This window comes from Homo sapiens, chromosome 5 (genome assembly GCF_000001405.40).
Source record: "Homo sapiens chromosome 5, GRCh38.p14 Primary Assembly".
Classification (NCBI taxonomy): Eukaryota; Metazoa; Chordata; class Mammalia; order Primates; family Hominidae; genus Homo; species Homo sapiens.
This window is the reverse complement of record NC_000005.10, coordinates 13,815,185-13,835,232: the sequence shown is the minus strand read 5'-3', so window position 1 is coordinate 13,835,232 and position 20,048 is coordinate 13,815,185. Positions and strand designations below refer to the sequence as shown.

At 39.5% G+C, this 20,048-nt stretch overlaps 1 protein-coding gene across 15 annotated transcripts in view; it reads left to right on the top strand.

The window, feature by feature from the left end:
- Window positions 1-20,048, top strand: part of DNAH5 (dynein axonemal heavy chain 5) — a 321,491-nt gene that overhangs the window by 176,586 nt on the left and 124,857 nt on the right. For 14 of the 15 annotated variants that reach the window (XR_001742034.2, XR_001742035.2, XM_017009177.2 and 11 more), the window contains 7 exons: window positions 4,458-4,636; window positions 5,020-5,207; window positions 5,529-5,723; window positions 10,900-11,034; window positions 11,863-11,970; window positions 14,734-14,887; window positions 17,539-17,685. Coding sequence is in view for 13 of the 15 variants with exons in the window: in XM_017009177.2 (XP_016864666.1) it covers window positions 4,458-4,636; window positions 5,020-5,207; window positions 5,529-5,723; window positions 10,900-11,034; window positions 11,863-11,970; window positions 14,734-14,887; window positions 17,539-17,685 (1,106 nt within the window). In the remaining 2 variants the exon portion in view is untranslated. Of the gene's footprint in view, window positions 1-144; window positions 1,681-4,457; window positions 4,637-5,019; window positions 5,208-5,528; window positions 5,724-10,899; window positions 11,035-11,862; window positions 11,971-14,733; window positions 14,888-17,538; window positions 17,686-20,048 lie in introns of those variants that run through there. The other variant, XM_017009188.2, reaches the window with a different exon arrangement.

Below are 20,048 nucleotides of genomic sequence, written 5' to 3'. Positions count from 1 at the left end.
ATCTCCGCTCACCGCAACCTCCCAGGTTCAAGTGATTCTCCTGCCTCAGCCTCCTGAGTAGCTGGGACTACAGGTGCGTGCCATCATGCCTGGATAATTTTTGTATTTTTAGTAGATGCGGGGTTTCACCGTGTTGGCCAGGGTGTTCTTGAACTCTTGACCTCAGGTGATCTGCCCTCCTCAGCCTCCCAAAGTGCTGGGATTATAGGAATCATTACTACTCTTATCCTGACCTGCATCCTTCTGACAATGTTTTAACTGGCTTCCCTGCCTCTGTCGTTGTCCTCGTACAGTCTGTTCTCAGTTCAGACACCAGAATGTAAGTCAGATCCTTTGCCCCAAAACTTCTCCCATGGTTCCTTCTCATGCAAAGTAAAAGCCAACGTCCTCACGTGGGCCTGTGAGGCCTGGTACAATCTGGCCTCTGCTACTTCTCTGTTTCTCTATCCTCATTCAGCTCAGGCCACCTGCTCCTTGCACAGCTGTGGCGCAGCCCTGCCACAGGGCCCTTGCCCTCATTATACACTTGGCCTGGCACCCTCTTCCTTCAATAGTGGCATAGCTTGCTTCCTTCTTCCTTTAGTCCCCTGCTAGAGAGTCACCTCAGAGGGTCTCCCGACCTCCCGCAATCTCCAAATCTCATAACCCTCTTATCCTTGGTGCGTGGGCTTCATGTGATTTGTTTGCTAGAATTGTTCTGTCACATAACAGATGCTAAATAAATAGTTCTTGAATAAATGAAAGAAGTGATTATTTCCAAAATTGCATCTTAATGGTGAAAAATTTACATGGTACAGAAGAACATGAAGTAGCATGTGTGGGAGGGAAAACTTTTCTATTTTTAAAAATGATCAACAGTTTATTTTCTATCCCTCTGAAAACTGTGGATGCTTAGACATTAAAATCCTTTTTCAGTTTCACATATAGGTATCATAGTTTACAGTCTTTTCTGCAATTTGATTCTTCCACTGTGTTCATTGTCTTGTATTTTTTTTATATTAAAAAACTGAGAACTTTAAAAGCAAAATAAGTATTTTCAAGTATGTAAGTAAAGGGATTCTGAAGTTTGTCTGTTTACCCTAAATGCCCATTTGTTTATTTTTCTTTAACCAACTTGATTATGTGGGAAGTGAGTTATTAATTTTCGATAGTAACTGAGATTCCACTGCAAGATTTGCTTCCCTTTTGCAAGAGAAAACTCCTCATTGAAATTAGTACTTTTAAAAAGTCAAATGCTGGAGGCACTGACATGTTGTCAGCCCTTCACTGACTGACCTGTGAATTTAACAGCTGGGGCAGCTCCCTGGATTCTGGGAAGCTCAATGCCATGTGGACAGAGTTGCAGACATTTCAGATGATAAAATAGCTATTATAATATGATAACATACAGCACTTTTCTCCAAAACTCGTAGTGTTTTTAATGAAGACTAGAATTGTCCTGACTACTGCTGTCACTTAAGCAGAAGGCAGAAGAAATTGAGGGCTGATGGAGGCATCTTATCTGCTTGATAAGAAATGTAGACAGGACTTGTACCTTTCTCTGACATTCCCACAGCTTCTGTGAGTGTTGCCTGAGTGCTGACTGCTCAGCTCTGCCCCTAGCAGCTGTGTAGTGTTGGACAAGACACCTAACCTCCCTCATTCCCTTGTTTGGGAATCATTGTGTGGACTAGAGGCAACGTAAGTACCCAGCACAGGGCGTGACACAGCAAATGTTTGTTATTATTATTATTATTCTTGCTATCACTGTTGCTTGTCAAAATTGCTGATAACACTTTTTTTTTTTTTTTGGGAAGGAGTCTCACTCACTCTGTTGCCCAGGCTGGAGTGCAGTGGCGTGATCTCGGCTCACTGCAACCTCTGCCTCCCAGGTTCAAGTGGTTCTCCTGCCTCAGCCTCCTGAGTAGCTTGGATTACAGGCGTGTGCCGCCACATCCAGCTAATTTTTGTATTTTTAGTAGAGATGGAATTTTGCCATATTGGCCAGGCTGGTCTTGAACTCCTGACCTCGTGATCCATCCGCCTCGGCCTCCCAAAGTGCTGAGATTACAGGCATGAGCCACTGTGCTTGGCCTATGTTAACACATTCTTTTTTTTTTTTGGATAACACATTCTTTAGCAACCTTGTCTTTGGTTTCTCCTTAAACATGCCCTATAATCAAAGAGTCTGTAACTAAACCAAGTTCTCAAGGAAGAAATGTACTCTGCTGATGCACGTACCATTGTTTCTTAGGAAACTTTTCAGCAGTTTAGAACCAATAGGAGTTGAAACCATTTCTGGTTTACCTGTGACAAAATGCACTGACAGTGCTATGAATAGTTACGATGAATGCTGGTGATAGATTTGGTTAGTTCGAGTGCTAATGAGCCCTGGGGTCATGGGGTTGGTTGCTTTTCATTTGGCATCAGGGTCACATTCTGCATCTCTAATTCCTGTAGCTGTTGGGACAGGAGGGACCAGATAAGAATGAATGACTGGATCAGCGCAAGCCATTTATTCAACCAATGTTCATATAGTACAAGGTGCCAGGGGTTAGGCAAGTAGTTGAGGGTACAAGTGTGAACCAAACCTAGCTCCTGACCGCAGAGAGTTTATAGCAGTTTAACTGAAGGTTAGAAAACTAAAATGGAGTTGACCACAGGCAACTAAAACACATAAAGTTCAAACCCTGTTCATGAATGGAAACGGTTTTGAAAATAGCCAATAGATAGACTAGAAAGGAAAGCAGAGAAGGGAGGCAAGAAGGGAGATACACTCACATGTAGAATTCTCTAGACACACAGGGAGATGCTGTGACAGATCCATGCTTGTCACCGAAAGGCAGTTTGGGCACCAGTGTAGCAGTGGGTCTGAAGCCCCACCTAGCTGAGCCAGGGAGAAGTCTCCAGGCATGCCCACCTGCTTTTCATGTAAATAGGATTGATCTGTTTGAAGCAACTTGCTACTTGTTCAGTTTAAATATAAACCCAGTGATCTCAGTTGTAACGAGGGTCTGCATAACACAGCAGCCGAGTGATCAGAGTTGATGGAGATGTATTCCCTTTTTTGTGTTTGGTATTTTATTTAATCTTTTTTTTTCAGTTTTTAATTTTTAAGTTCAGGGGTACATGTGCGGGTTTGTTACATAGGTAAACTTGTGTCATAGAGGTTTGTTATATAGATTATTTCATTGCCCAGGTATCAAGCCTAGTGCCCATTAGTTATTTTTCTTTCCCGGATAGAGTGGGCTTGTCCCAGAGCTGGAAAGTGAGAAGACTTGGCTTGTCTCAGCTGTCCTGCCGCAGTCCTGAGAAAAGTCACTCAATCTCTGTGGCCTTTTTCCTTATCTCTGTACAGTGGGGGAAAGGAACAGTAGCTTCCTTCCAGGGTTCTCTGGGGATGAAACGAGATGATGCATGTGGAGCACACTGTGGTGTCTGTTGTTGTTACAGACTCTGCTTTGGAAGGGATGGCAAAAATGCAACAGGAGAAATAATACCTTGGGTTAAAAGGCAGAGTCAAAGTGAGAGCAGGCATTCTCCTGATTTCATGACCAGATCTTTTCCTCTGTATCCAGACTCTGCATACATTAAGGGCTGAGTCATTTACTTGCCTTTATAGCACTCGTTTCCAGTAACATTGAGAACCTGGAACCACCCCCAGCTGGTGCACTCAGTGTTCATTTCCACTGCTCAGGCTGGATAGTCACTTCATTTCCTTGGAAGTCTTTTTCAAGTCCGGATGAATGCTTTATAGTTTGGCCATAAGAAAACCCTACACGGCACCACTTTATAATTTGTCTCCTTTGGTAACACCAGGTGGTGCTGGCAAACAAGTAATTGATCTGCAAGTTATCAGGTGAAAAATTTTCCTTTGCAGGCATTCTTGTATTCTCTCACCAAATCTTTTATTTGTTAATCTCATATAGTAAGATGCAATTGAAAGCATGTGCAAGGTTAGTAGATACTCACAGAAATAGATTCAAGGTGTGATTATTTAGCAGTGTGTGTTTTAAATCCCAACTACATCAAATGGCCAACTCTTAGATTCAAAAGGGGATTAATCTATTTGAAAGGATCCCGATCTGTTTCACAGAATATATACATTTTAGATGGGGGTAGATTTCTGCGAAAATGTTGCCAAATACATTTTGGAAATGCAATGTATTATTTTTATACCTGGAGATTCTCTCTGCATATTATGATAAGAAAGCCTGAAAAATTCAGCAGTAAAGAAACCTGTTTAACCTTTTAAGGAGTTTTTAAACTTAGTTGATCATAGACTACCCCCTCCTTTTCCTCAACATATGTTAACATTGATAAGGATAAGTGTGTTTTAGGATGTTGTATTCGAAATGTTAGGTAGGGACAATGGCCTTTTGTTTTTTAATCTTGTGTGCGTTTCATGCCACTGTGATGTCTCAGAAGTATTTCCAGGTGACTGAGGGCTGGTTCTAGTGATGTTTCTACCCATGCAGATGTTACATCACGCTGGCTCAAGCTCTGGGAATGAGCATGGGGGGAGCCCCTGCTGGACCTGCAGGCACAGGCAAAACAGAAACCACTAAAGACATGGGACGATGCCTCGGGAAATACGTCGTGGTTTTCAATTGTTCAGACCAGATGGATTTCCGAGGACTTGGACGGATTTTTAAGGGTATGGGTTATATTTTTTAATCTGGTGAGAAATTGCAGCCAAGGTGGAATATTTTGCTAAAATTTGTTTTCAACAATTGGCCACATTTTAGAATCATTTTCAACTTTGTAAAATTTTTTGGAAAATCTTCAATCTTGCCAGGTTGTGTGGACCAAATGTTACTTCCTCCTGACTTTTTTTTGATATTCCTTTATCTTGGGTGTTTACAGGTGAAGTGCCAAATTGTAAGCTGTTTTGGGTCACTTGATGCATAGATCTATTTGTTGCACTTTACTTTTGAATGAACTTACATCTGGCTCATTTTAGCAGCTACATAATATCCTTTTTCTTGGTTTTCTAAAATTATATACTAATTGGATTTTTCATTTAATTTCCTTTCGAAGGACTGGCACAGTCTGGATCCTGGGGTTGTTTTGATGAATTTAACCGTATTGATCTACCAGTTCTCTCGGTTGCAGCCCAGCAAATTTCCATTATTCTGACATGTAAAAAGGAGCACAAAAAGTCTTTTATCTTTACTGATGGAGATAATGTGACTATGAACCCTGAATTTGGGCTTTTCTTAACCATGGTAAGGAGCTGCTAGAAAAGCTACTGAATTTCAGCCTTCTTATCACAATTTTCATGCATCTCCCTGGTCATATGTCATCTGTTTTCCTGAATGGAAATTGGGATTGTAACTTTACCTCCTTTTGAAAACCTTTTGGTGTTAAGCAAAGATCATATGAATAGCTCATGACTTAGCCTGTCCAGGTAAAACGAGATTGAGATACGTAAATGAGTTCCCTGGTTGTCATTCCAGATTTGTTGTGTGTACATAATGAATCTTTTAATATGATGCTGATGTGTGCTTGATTGCATCATTCATCCTTGGGCTTTATTTTCTGTTTAGAATCCTGGCTATGCCGGACGGCAGGAACTCCCTGAAAACTTGAAGATTAATTTCCGCTCAGTGGCCATGATGGTGCCTGACCGTCAGATTATCATAAGGGTGAAGTTGGCTAGTTGTGGCTTCATTGACAACGTTGTTTTGGCCAGGAAGTTTTTCACGCTCTACAAACTGTGTGAGGAGCAGCTTTCTAAGCAGGTGTGTCATCCTGGAGGTCTTATGCACTTAGGCATGTTTCATTTTTCTATTCAGCAGAATGTTCTCATTTTGAGAAATTCTAGACTGGGCTTGTTGACAAAGGATTTTATTGACACTGAGTAGAAAGGTGTATTACTACAAAAATAATTTTATATGCATAGTTTTTTAAGAAGTACATTTAAATAAATTAATATTTACAGCATAGAAATGAAGTGAATATTATCTGCACTGGTTTAAGAGCCAAAGACTTATGGATATTAACATTGGCTGTTTATACCACTTATAGATTCATTGTTATATGTGTTATGTATTTTCATGATTTGTAGGAACCTCCCAATGATTTATTCTTCTTCATTCTAAGCTCACTTGAGTATTTGACCAAGGTTTACTAACTGTCTTGTTTATATGTTGCAGCCTTCTTGCTAGTTTCCTCGATTGTTTAGGGTACCAGGTTCAGGCATCATGAGGTTTCATAGTTAAAAGTCATGGAATTAAACATATAGTTCTGCATTAGTTATCTATTGCTGCATAATAGTCATCTAACAATCATACCACAAACTTTGTGTCTTGTAACAACGTACATTTATTACTACATGGTGTCTGTGGGTCAGGAGTTAGCTGAAATGAGTCCTGTGGTTTGTGTCTAACAAGGCTACAATCAAAGTATTGGCTGGGGCTGTGGTTTCATCTGATGCTCGAATGGGGACAATCTACTTCTGAGCTCACTCAGGTTGTTAGCAGAATTCTGTTAGTTGAGGGTGTAAGACTGAGGGCTTCGATTTCTTGCTGGCTATTTTCTGGAGGCCACCTTTAGTTCCTACAGGCTGTGCATAGTTCCTTGCTATATGGGTTTCCCCAACATGACCACTTACTTTCTCAAAGTCAGCAAGGAAAGTGGTTTCAGCAAAACGAGTGCTACAGTCTAATCTAATGTGACCACATAATCACACACACATAATCACATACAACCTGTTGTCTCTGCTGTATTCTATTAGTTAGAAGAAGCAAATCACAGGTCCTGCCTACTCTCAAGGTGATATCATATAAGGACATGACCACCAGGAGGTGGGCATCATGCCACAATTTTTTAGTACATATCAGTAAAAATTACTAGAAATATATGCTAAATAATGACACAGTGCAATAAACATGAGACTATAACATGAATAACACTTCCTAACATATATAATCTTTGTTCCATCTTATCACTTAGGCTTTAATTTCAAACTTCTTTGAATCTTTATTACTTTTTATACCCACAGGTTCAACCTAATTACATTCCTACTAAAAAGTTCTTTTCCTATGAGTGTTCAGACACACACAGACTCTTCTGGCTCTGGCCATTGAGCCTTTCTGGTTAGTCTGACCCTAACATTTTGTCTCCCAACATTCTTGGTTTCTTCTGCTTATTGGAGCCCTTACTCACTCATTCTTATTGTATTAGTCTGTTCTCATGCTGCTAATAAAGACATACCTGAGACTGGTTAATTTATAAAGGAAAGAGGTTTAATTGAATCACACTTCAGCATGGCTGGGAAGGCCTCAGGAAACTTACAATCATGGTGGAAGGGGAAGCAAACACGTCCTTTTCACATGGTGGCAGGAAGGAGAAGTGTTGAGTGAAGAGGGGGAAAAGCCCCTTATAAAACCGTCAGATCTCATGAGAACTCACTATCATGAGAGCAACATGAGGGTAACTGCCCCTATGATTAAATTACCTTCCACTGGGATCCTCCAGTGACATGTGGGGATTATGGAACTACACTTCGGGATGAGATTTGGGTGGGAACACAGCTGAATCATATCATTTTGCCCCTGGCCCCTTCAAGATCTCATGTCCTCACAATTCATAATACAGTCGTGCCCTTCCAACAGTCCCTCAAAGTCTTAACTCATTCCAGCATTAACTCAAAAGTCTAAGTCCAAAGTCTCATCTGAGACAAGGCAAGTCCCCTCTACCTATGAGCCTGTAAAATCAAAAGCAAGTTAGTTACTCCCTAGATACAATGGGGGTACAGGCATTGTTAGCCTCAGCTGGAGCGGCTGGGATGCAGGGCACCAAGTCCCATGCCTACACACAGCAGGGGGACCCTGGACCTGGCCCAGGAAACCATTTTTCCTCTTAGGCCTCTGGGCCTGTGATGGGGAGGGGCTGCCATGAAAGTCTCTAACATGCTCTGGAGACATTTTCTCCATTGTCTTGGTGATTAACATTCAAATCCTCATTACTTACGCAAATTTATGCAGCTGGCTTAATTTCTCCTCAGAAAATGGTGTTTTCCTTTCCATTGCATCATTGGGCACAAAGTTTCAAAACTTTTATGCTCTGCTTCCTCTTGAAAGCTTTGCCGCTTAGAAATTTCTTCCACCAGATACCCTAAATTATTTCTCTCAAGTTCAAAGTTTCACAGATGTCTGGGACAGGGGCAAAATGCTGCCAGTCTCTTTGTATAGCAACAGTGACCTTCACTCCAGTTCCCAACAAGTTCCCCATCTTTATCTGAGACCACCTCAGCCGGAAATCACTGTCCATATAACTCTCAGTGTTTTGCTCAAAGCCATTCAACAAGTCTCTAGGAAGTTGCAAACGTTTTCATGTCTTCTTGTCTTCTGAGCCCTCTAAGTCTCTAGGAAGTTCCAAACTTTCCCACATTTCTTCAGTCTTCTTCTGAGCCATCCAAACTGTTCCAACCTCTGCCTGTTACCCAGTTCCAAAGTTGCTTCCACATTTTCAGGTATCTTTATAGTAGCACCCCACTCTATGTGGCACCAATTTACTAGTCTGTTCTCCTGTTGCTAATAAAGACATACCTGAGACTGGGTAATTTACAAAGGAAAGAGGTTTAATTGAATCACACTTCAGCATGGCTGAGAAGGCCTCAGGAAGCTTACAATTGTGGCAGAAGGGGAAGCAACACATTCTTCTTCATGTGGTGTCAGGAAGGAGAAGTGCTGAGTGAAGAGGGGGAAAAGCCCCTTATAAAACCATCAGATCTTATGAGAACTCACTTACTATTATGAGAACAGCATGAGGTAGCCACCCCCATGATTCATTACCTCCACCTGGTCCCTCCCACGACACATGGGGATTATGGGGACTACAGTTCAGGATGAGATTTGGGTGGGGACACAGCCAAACCATATCACTTATCTTTCAAATAAATATTTTTTCCATGCTGTTTCTTGAATGGAGAAAACTTCCCACATCACTGGCTCCTGCTCTTATCTTCACTACCACTTCACTACTTCCCTCACTCCTACCACCCATGTTCACAAGATCATAGTGAAATGTAATACATCAATGTGTGCAAAATAGTTGGACTCATACTGATGTCTTGGTGAACATTCTGTGACTTTCCCTTCATGCCCACAGATTTAACTGCATCCAACACTGATAGGAAGTTTCCCATGATTAAGTTTACTCACCAACACTTTTAAGTCATTGTTACTTTTATACAAGTTTATTCACATTTCTATTTTATTATCTTTATTAGAATTTAAATTCCCTGAAGGTGGAAACTCAATTTGAATATTTTTTATGTGCTCCATCTTCCAAATGACTAGTCTTAAGTGAGGCATACTGCTCCCAATTACCTTAGCAGAAGACTGTAGTTTTTTCCTATACATTTTTTTTGTTGTGGTAAAAGCATATAAAATTAAATTTACTATCTTAACCATTTTTAGTGTACAATTCAATAATGTTGAGTATATTCACAATGTTGTGAAATAGATCTCTGTAACTTTTTCATCTTGAAAAACTGAAACTCTGTGCCCACTAAACAACAACTTCTCTTTTTCTCTTCCCTTAGCTCCTGGTAACCATCATTCTACTTTCTGTTTCTATGAATTTGACTATTGCCAATAGTTCATATAAATGAAATCATATAATATTTGATTTTTTGTGACTGCCATATTTTACTTAGTGTAATGTCCTCAAGGTTCATTCATGTTTTAGCATGTGACAGGATGTCCTTTCTTTTTATGGCTAAATAATATTGTTATATGTATATACCACATTTTGTTTATCCATTCGTCTGTCAATGGACATTTGGGTTGCTTCCACCTCTTGGCTATCATGAATGGTGCTGCTATGAACATGGATATGCTGCTATCTCTTTGAGACCATGCTTTTATTATTTATTTATTTATTTATTTATTTATTTTTTGCAAGACAGAGTCTTGCTCTGTTGCCCAGGCTGGAGTGCAAGTGCTATCTCGGCTCACTGCAACCTCTGCTTCCTGGGTTTAAGTGATTCTCATGCCTCAGCCTCCTGAGTAGCTGGGATCACAGGTGCACACCACCACACTTGGTTAATTTTTGTAATTTTTTGGTAGAGATGGGGTTTCATCATGTTGGCCAGGCTGGTCTCGAACTCCTGGCCTTAAGTGATCTGCCCCACTTGGTCTTCCAAAATGCTGGGATTATGGGTGTAAGCCATTGTGCCTGGCACATTCTTTCAATTCTTTTGGCTATATACCCAGAATTGGGAGTGCTGGATCATATCGTTCCGTTTTTAATTTTTTGAGGAACCACCTTACTGTTTTTCACAATAATTGGATAAATAAATTTTGATTATTCACTTTATATATGCTGAAATTTGACATAATTGAGCTTTTGTAAATATTTAGTAAGGGAATGACAAAGCTGGGGGCTTAGCTTTCTAATTTGTCCTTATCCTTCCTCCTTCAGGTAATCCTGAAGCGCAGGTGCTTTTTTTCTCCCTGATTCTCCTGTCTTCTTACTTATCACGAAAAAGGCACATATATCTCTATGTATATGACAGTCATGAGTGCAGTCCCAGTTTAATTCTGGTTCTGAATTTTAACTGTAGAGATATGAGCAAATTTCCTTATGTATGATTGATTAAGAATAAGCTCAAAGGGATGTCTGTATTCCAAGAAGAAATTTATTCCTTTTTCCCTGCCAAGCTGTAGCAGCTAGTTCTGATCTAAGGGCTTAAGCTAATGATGGCACATGGGAGGACTCTTTGGGATATTCCCTATTTGCTCAAAACGTATATCTATATAGAAATATTTTACCCCATTGTGTGTATGCATTTTCTGAAGGAAAATCAGCATTTATTCATTATTGTGAATATAATTTCTGTCAGATTCATATGGCTTCTGCAAGTATTTTAATGTTGAAAATAAGCCCAATGTATCTCACATTCTCTAGGTTCATTATGACTTTGGCCTGCGTAACATTCTGTCAGTTCTTCGGACCTTGGGAGCAGCAAAAAGAGCCAATCCAATGGATACGGAGTCCACGATTGTCATGCGTGTACTACGGGACATGAATCTTTCTAAACTGGTAAGACTCACAGATGGAAGTGTTCCACCTACTTGGATATCAGTTAAACTAACTGCCCATACATGAGACTTCAAAATATTTATTTAAAATGCTCATTTAAAATGCCTAATTGTCAGATAAAGTGCTGGAGAGCATCACTTTAAATTATACTTTTTCAGACATTTTTTTGGGTAATGATTCCTATCCACTCCAAAATGTGCCTATTCCAATAGAATTGCAGTGGATTTTAAAAAATACACATGTTAAGATGCCAAATACCTTGAATCATTTTTGTGTTTTAGAACTCAAATCTCACCTTTGGAGTCTGGTAGAGCCTGGTAGGAAATAATGTGTAAACTCTACAAGTGTGTGATAGTTTCACACTATTATTTCACGATAGAGACTGATAATCAATGCCCACTATCCGTGGATCTATGTAAAGGGTCACAAAATGATAGATTTTTATTTTAAATTAAAAGTATACACCAAATTCCAATTCACAAACCTGCTATTAATTTCTAATTTAAAAATTCTTTTAAGTTTAAATTAAAAATTGTAGACTATATGGTATCCCCCAAAACTGACTATTTTATGGAAAGATTGTCACATAGACAGTATTGTCTTCCTTCCATTTCTTTCCTTTCTCCCTGTTCTTTTCCTCTTTATTTTATTTTTTTTAATTTATGGGAAAGATGAGGAAAATGTTTCTTAACTTCAATAAAGGTGATATGTTATTTGTTAGTGGTTACATTGCAATAACCCGGACTGTGTTGGGCATTTCCAGTTTATCTGCATATTGATATGTTTATACCAGAATAATTGGTCTGATTTCCCATTTTCTTTTTTTAGATTGATGAGGATGAACCCTTGTTTTTGAGTTTGATTGAAGATCTCTTTCCAAATATTCTTCTGGACAAGGCAGGTTACCCTGAACTGGAAGCAGCAATTAGTAGACAGGTAATATGCTTCACAGGGCAACGAGGGCTGGTGTCTGTTTCATCTGAATTTAATGGGAATAAAGTGGGGCTGCTGTGGCTCCAACCTATGCACTCTGAGCAGCAAAAATAACAACAGTGAGGCTAACACTGCTGTCTTAAGGGAGGCCAATGCACACCACGAGTCAAACTCCCCTTGCCCTGGGTCTCCTACCATTGCACAGCCACATGTCCAGCTAGTCATGTGCGAGTAGCCCTATTATTGGTGGAAACCATTCCATAGCAGATGCAGAAATGAAATGTGATTGGTCAGCAGGGGTTGGATGGGGCTCATCTGGCTGCCTCTCTGGAGCTTGGCTTAGCTTGTTTCTGCCCTGGTGTTTGCTGTGTCGCCTGCCTCTGCGTGTTATTTGCAGTGATCTCATGTGGCTTCTCTTTCCTCAGTACTTGTGGCTTCTTGCTCAGACTCTGGGGGTGGGATACGGTGGGTAGGGTGGGGGAACCCACCACACTATGTATATCATGATGTCTCTGGACTTCCCATGGTACTTGGTGCAGCTTTAACTTTTTATAGTCTTCCTAGGAATGAAAATTAATTACGTAAACCTTATGCCTCAATTTCTTTTTCTATGAAGAAGAGTTTGGAAAAAAATGTTTTATAGAAGTGGTGATTAGCTCATATTTATAAATTGCACTTCAATTCCTTGAAAATATTTATAATAAAAATCAAATGTGGCCAGGTGTGGTGGCTCATGCCTGTAATCCCTGCACTCTGGGAGGCCAAGTGAGTGGATCGCTTGAGCCCAGGAGTTTGAGACCAGCCTAGGCAACATGGTGAAACCCTGTCTCTACCAAAAATCCAAAAAATTAGTTGGGCATGGTGCCATGTGCCTATAGTCCCATCTACTCTGGATGCTGAGGTGGGAGGGTCACTTAAGCCTGGGAGGCTGAGGCTGCAGTGAGCAGTGATTACACCACTGCACTCCAGCCTGAGTGACAGAGGGACACTCTGTCTCAAAAACAAACAAACAAATGAAAAAAAAAAAAGGAAATCAAAATGTAGCAGTACTTAGTTTATATTTTGCTTTAAAAATTTAGTATATAAATGTCTGAATTTTCTGATGAGGTAAGAGTGATAATTTGTCTGCAAGTGGTTTCTTCATCTTTTGGCTAATTTTAACACTACCTAAAAGCTAAGTATTGGGCCAGGGGTGGTGACTCATGCCAATAGTCCCAGTGCTTTGATAGGCCAACGTTGGGGGATTACTTGAGGCTAGCCTGAGCAACATAGCGAGAACTCGTCTCTACAAATAAATTAAAAAATTAGCCTGGTGCAGTGGTGCATGTCTATAGTCCCAACTACTCATGCAGCTGAGGCAGGAGGATCACCTGAGCCTGGGACTTTGAGGCTGCAGTGAGCTGTGATCACGCCACTGCACTCCAACATGGGGTGACAGAAATGAGACTCTATCTCTAAAAAATATATAAAAATATAAAAAAGCTAAGCATTAAGTAGTTGATATGATGACTTACGTTAGTAATTTGTAGCATATAAAAATCTGAAGGGCAAATCATAGCATAAAGTGATACATGATTATTATAAAAATTATTTAAGTAAAATTGAAATCATTACGTACTGTGAGTTCAAGCATAGCATGATGATTAAGTGCATAGACCATGGATTTGAACTTCTTGGTCTTAAATCTGCATTCCATAGTTTCACAAGCTGATCATCTTGGGCAAATTGCTTAGTCACTCTGCTTCAAGTTCCTTATCTGTAAAAGGAAGATGTTAATAGCATCCCTTCCATCATGTTATTATAAAGATTTCCATCATGTTATTATAAAGATTGATCTTAGAATAATATTTGGCACAGAGTAACTTCCATACATGCCTTGATAGATAGAAACTCTGCAGTGGACATATAAAGACAGTTTGAAATTTATATGGAATTTCAATCAACATAGTATGCTATCCATTTTTCTAGTTGTAAGTATTACCTTTTAAATTAAACATTTAAAATACATTTTGCTGTTTGAGTCTTTATTTTTAAGTTGCTCCTCAGAGGTTCATTCAATCGAATATTTATATAAATGTTTTCAGTTCCCAAAGATAAATGCAGATATTTCTTATTAGTTTAGGATAACATCTTCATTACATTCAGCCAGATTTTTGTCTATGTAAATATGTATTTTTCATGCAATATATTTTTTATTATGGTAAAAATACAACATAAAATTTACATTTTAATCATTTTTAAGAAGAATTAAGCACACTTACATTGTTGAGCAACTGTTATCACCACCATCCATCTTCAGAACCTTTTTTATCATCCCAAATTGAAACTCTGTACTCATTAAACAGTAAATCCTCCTCCTTCCTCCCTATGTCTGTGTATTTTTTTGTGGCACAATGGTAAATTGAGATTGTCATTGATGTGTTTTTTTTTTTTTTTTTTTTGAGACGGAGTATTGCTCTGTTGCCCAGGCTGGAGTGCAGTGGTGCAATCTCGGCTTACTGCAACCTCTGCCTCCCAGGTTCAAGCAATTCTCCTGCCTCAGCCTCCCAAGTAGCTGGGACTACAGGTGCCCACCACTATGCCTGGCTAATTTTTGTATTTTTTTAGTAGAGACGGGGTTTCACCATGTTGGCCTGGCTGGTCTTGAACTCCTGACCTTGTGATCTGCCCGCCTCGGCCTCCCAAATTGTTGGGATTACAGGCGTGAGCCACCGTGTCCGGCCATCATTGTTGTGTTTCAATGTGGGGATTCTCTTATGTTTTCAGGTTGAAGAAGCTGGTTTAATCAACCATCCTCCTTGGAAACTGAAGGTCATCCAGCTATTCGAAACGCAGAGAGTGCGACATGGGATGATGACTCTGGGGCCCAGTGGGGCTGGGAAGACCACCTGCATCCACACCTTGATGAGAGCCATGACAGGTACAGGGCAGCCAAGGTCAATGCCTGGGGTGGCCCATTTAAGTAGTGGTGACCCATTTGAATGCCCAAGAGGGATACACAGGCAGATACAATAATATATTTTTATAGGAGGAAATACTGCTTTATTAATTATTGGGAACATTTTAGAGATAACATATTACATTAATGAACCAGAGAGAAAAAAAAACATTTTTAGGTGACTTTATGCACTGCACTGTATGTTTTACATATGTTATGTAATTTGATTTTCACAATGATCTTGAGAGGTGGTTATTATTATCCCCATTTTGTATAAAAATCAAGGCTCAAATTCAAAAACGCCCACGGTCACAAAGATGGTAAGTGATGGGACTCAGAGTTAAGGTCAGGGCGCGCTTAAAAAAAGCCCAGTTTTCCCAACATACCATGCCATTTCCCAGTAAAAACAAAATACAACACACTGTCTCTCAATAAATAGAAAATAATTCCAAACCCAACTCTTATGTTCTATATGCCGAAGTCATCCCAATCCCAATCATAAATTACCTTCCCATTTGGAATCAGATTTATTTTAGTGAAGTTAAATAAATGCATTTCATTTCCAGATGTCCCTAAGCCTTACATCTAAAGTCATCTAAGGATAATGGACATTACCACATTCATGATTATTCTTGTATTCTCTGGTTCTGATCAGACATGGATGACTCTCTTTCTAAAAATATTGGCATCCTGTAGACATTCCAAAATGTCACAGAACCTTGACGGTTGGAATGCAAAATATATAGCAGTGCATTGAGGTTCTAGGAGCTGACTGAAAGCCCATCCAGCAAAGAGGTACCTGGGTGGGCTTTCAGGCAGTTCCCGGAACCTCAGTGCACTGCTACTGATGCAACACTGGTACATTGTTGGTGGTTGCTGAGGATTGCCAGTATTTACTGTGGGACCCTGCAGGTGTTGGATTTGGTCTTTGTTTCCTCAGTTATTGGAGGAAGTGAATTCTGTCTATCAGGACTCTACCAGGCAGTCCTCAGACTGAGATAAAGTGTGTTCTCAGCTAACATCTACCTCTACCAAAATGGACCACTCCAACCTGCAGGACTTATCACGTGGTTTTTCATGTATGCTGTTAAGATTCTGTTTTGGGATTTTTATGTTTCTTAAATAATTGTGTTCTTCCTCTCAAATTTTTCTCAATAATATTTTTGTTGCAGTGACGAAGCTGCCTTCTGTTAACAATAAACTTTAAATGCACACGGTACAATGACTCGAACAAAATGAGTACTAAATATTAAACAATATAGATACATTATGTATGGTATATCTAAATTATGTAATCTGTATGGCATCACTGATTCTGGAGAAGTTCCTTGCAAAGAAGAATTAATCATTAGACTATTTGCTGTTTATGAACTTGGTTTTGGTTTTAGTAGTAGAGGAAACATTAATCTTACTTAAAGAACCATTGTTTCTCACTGAAAATGTTAATAATCCAAAAGGTTGAGAAGATAATTTAACTTCTGCTGACGACGTGGAGGGCTGATGCATATTATTTGTCCCCTGATTCAGCATATATCTCATCAAGTGTCTTTAATATTGCATACTTTGAAGATCTGTCAGGTTCTGTATTAGAAGCAGGACATAGACATAGACAGAGATAATTAAAACTCAACAGGGAATTGCTATAAGGAAGGTTTGGACAAGTATCCCATGAGTAGAGGCCAAGGTGATGAGAAAATCCTCTAAGGAATTATAGAAAGGCATACAGACCAGGTGCTACTTCATCCGAGGCTTGAGGGTTGAGTACCAGATTGATAAAAAATGTTTTTAGCAGAAAAAAAGAGTCTGTGTCAGTAGGAGGGATTGGAGAGAACATGATATACGCAAGGAAGTGCTTTGGCACTTCCGCCATGCCTGGCTAATTTTTGTATTTTCAGCAGAGACGGGGTTTCACCGTGTTGGCCAGGCTGATCTCGAACTCCTGACCTCATGATCTGCCCGCCTTGGCCCCCCAAAGTGCTGGGATTACAGGCGTGAGCCACCATGCCCTGCCCATTTTTATAATTTTATACTTTAAACCTTATTGTTCACTCTTCTGCTCATTAACCACAGTCCCTTATGCACAGAATCCCAGCCCACTGAAGAGTCGGCTTAGGGTGTGAAAGATTTGAATACATTTCTTGAATACATTTCTTGGTCACAAAAGAAAGTCCTTGATTCATGCAAAATTCATTTAGCTTATCGTTTTCAAGGTGAGCAAGAAAACATAACACAAATCAAAGCTGATAATGCAGTGAATGAGGCATCTTCTAGGTGATATTTCAGGCAGAAGATTTAATCTAGTGTAGCTTAAACCAAAGATTTTTTTTGAGCCATGAAATTTAGAGAGCTTCCAGATTATATTAGTACCTTCATAAATTCCAGCATGGTATCTTTTTTCACCCCTAAACAATATGCAATTTTCTCTAAAGAAGATAAAAAAGTGCTTTAGTCAATAAAGTATAATGAAGCTAATTATGGTAACTTAGAATGCAGTAAGACATATTTTCAATGTAGTTCTGCAGTTTTCATATTTTGAGCACCTGCTGACAGTACACCACAAATTAGTGCAATGTTGCTTAATGATGGTTCACTTCCCATCTGAGATGTCTAAAATTTGGATTTACTTGGTATAGATTGTGGAAAACCACATCGGGAAATGAGGATGAATCCCAAAGCGATTACTGCCCCACAGATGTTTGGTCGGCTGGACGTTGCCACAAATGACTGGACTGATGGGATATTTTCTACGCTTTGGAGGAAAACATTAAGAGCAAAGAAAGGTAGAAGATAAATTACAAGGATTATTTTTGATTATACTTCTAGATAGAATCCTTGGAGGCTATACAGAATTAGTAGAACAACTGTATTTGCTGTATAATATCTTAGCCAAGACTAAGAAGTCATAAATCAGTGTGATATTTGTGAAAGTTGAAATAATGGAATTATTGATTACAGTATTTAAAATGCTCCCTTTTAGGAAATAATATTTTCTAAAAAAATATGTCTGTATCCCTGTGATATTTTAGAATAAAATAGATGGAAAAAGCTGTTAAGGAAAATTGATAATATTGAATAAAGTGATTTTACCATAACTATTTTCACTGAATATTTTACCAGTGTTGCTCTCATTTAAGTACAGCCTATTTTTAAAGAATTGATTTCTCTATAAAGTCACAGAGAAAATGGGTTGTTTGGGAGAGAAAATTGTATATAGCAAAAATGAAGTCTACATTGAACTAATAAATTATTCTGTGTAGATGGACATTGGTGTTCAGTTGTTTAAACAAACTCATTAAGGGCTAGCGGTTCAGTCTGAATAGTCCCTCACTTATGGACTTTGTAAATTGAACCCAATGTTCTCAGAATATAAATTCGGTGGGAAGAGGTGACATCAGCTTTCTTCTCATTTGATTTCCTCACTCCTGAGTGAGCAGGCAAAGGCAGAGTGAATACAATTGCAGAGAGAAAGAAGCAGGAGAAGGAGGAGATATTTGGGCTTCCTGGGTTTACCCTTTGGGCAACAGTGTCCTTCTGAAAAATGTTTAAAGTAGTACCATTGACGCTCGCATTTAATAACGCTAATATAAATTGTCGAAAGAGAAATGAAAATGCTTCATTTAAAAAAGTGCTCATATTAGAAATTGTTTTTGTTCTACTGGAAATAAATCGAATTTTATTCCTGATTTGTTCCACTAACCCACTGTAAACACAGACCCAGTGACAAAATGTGACTTAAAAGAACAAGAGCGCAGAGGTTTTTTTGTTTTTTTTTTCCCCTTTCCACATTAAAAAAAGGCAACATATGCTTTTTCTTTCAAAGTGACTCTGGTGATTAGATCACCATTTTACTTGAATTGCTAGTTGAATGAACTTGATTAGGATTTTCAAAGCATTTTATTTTAAATAGACTATCCCACGGTTGTTGCATAGCAAAGAAAATTTAGAACCACAAGACAGGTCATGGTGTTGGTGAGTAAGAGAAGGTAGTAGTTGAGAAATTAAGAGGAATGCTATTATTAAATCAAATACCTAAATTTACAATGACATTCTTGTTGAGCAATCTGCTGATGTTTGTCATTTTCTCTACCTCCAAGTATCTCCTCGTATGACTGCTGTCAAGTTTTTTGCCCAGTGTTCCTCTGAAATTGCTGTATCAAGGACACCCCTGACCTCCAGCTTGTCAAATACAAATTGCCAGTTCTCAGTCTGGTACTGCCCTGAGGAGCATTCGGCACAGTTGATCGCCTGCCTTCTTGAAACCCTTCCTTCTCTGGGCTGCAGGGATTCCTCATCCTGCTAGCTCTTTTTCCACTTCTGCTTCCTTGAGAAGTCTGGAAGAAAGGGGAGCAAACACAGGAGACCATGCCAGAAGCCTAAGGGTTACAGAGCCTCTGTCTTCAGCCCTCTTCTCTCTCCACACTTATCTAGAAGAAACTTACCCAGTCCCACAGCTTTAAATCCCATCTCTGAACTGGTGACTTTCACATTTTAATCTCCAGCCCTGACCTCTCTCCTGAATTCCCAACTCAGCAACTCTACGAGGATCTCTGTTGGATGCCTTAGACTTAGGTGCAAACCAGAATGGGTTCCATAGCTCTGTCTTTCCCACTGCCCTCATATACCTCTCCCCTTCCTCCTCTTTTTGCCCTTCAGGTTCAACTTCTTACTGTTCCTGGAACGTGATCACCTTAGTTTGGGATGCTAGAGACTGGGTGGCTTATAAACAATAGACATTCACTTCTCATAGTTCCAGAGGCTGGAAGTCTGAGATCAGGGAGCCAGCATGGTCGGGTTCTGGGGAGGGCTTTCTTCATGGTTGCAGTCTGCTGATTTCTTGCTGTACCCCATGTTGCAGAAGGGCAAGAGAGTTCTCTGAGGTCTCTTTATAGGGGCACTAATCTTGTTCATGAGGATATTTTAGGGGAACACAAACATTCAGTCCATTGTATTACACTAAGCCTGTATCTGCTTCAGGGGCTTAGCACTTTCTGTTCTTGCTGTCTGGAATATTCTACCTCTAGATCTTTACATCACTTCATTCTCTTCCTGGAATATCTTATCGACCACCTTATCTAAAACATGCCCCATGCCCTCATTCTACTTAGTTTTTTTGTATGTTAAACTTTTATTTGTTTGCTTGTCA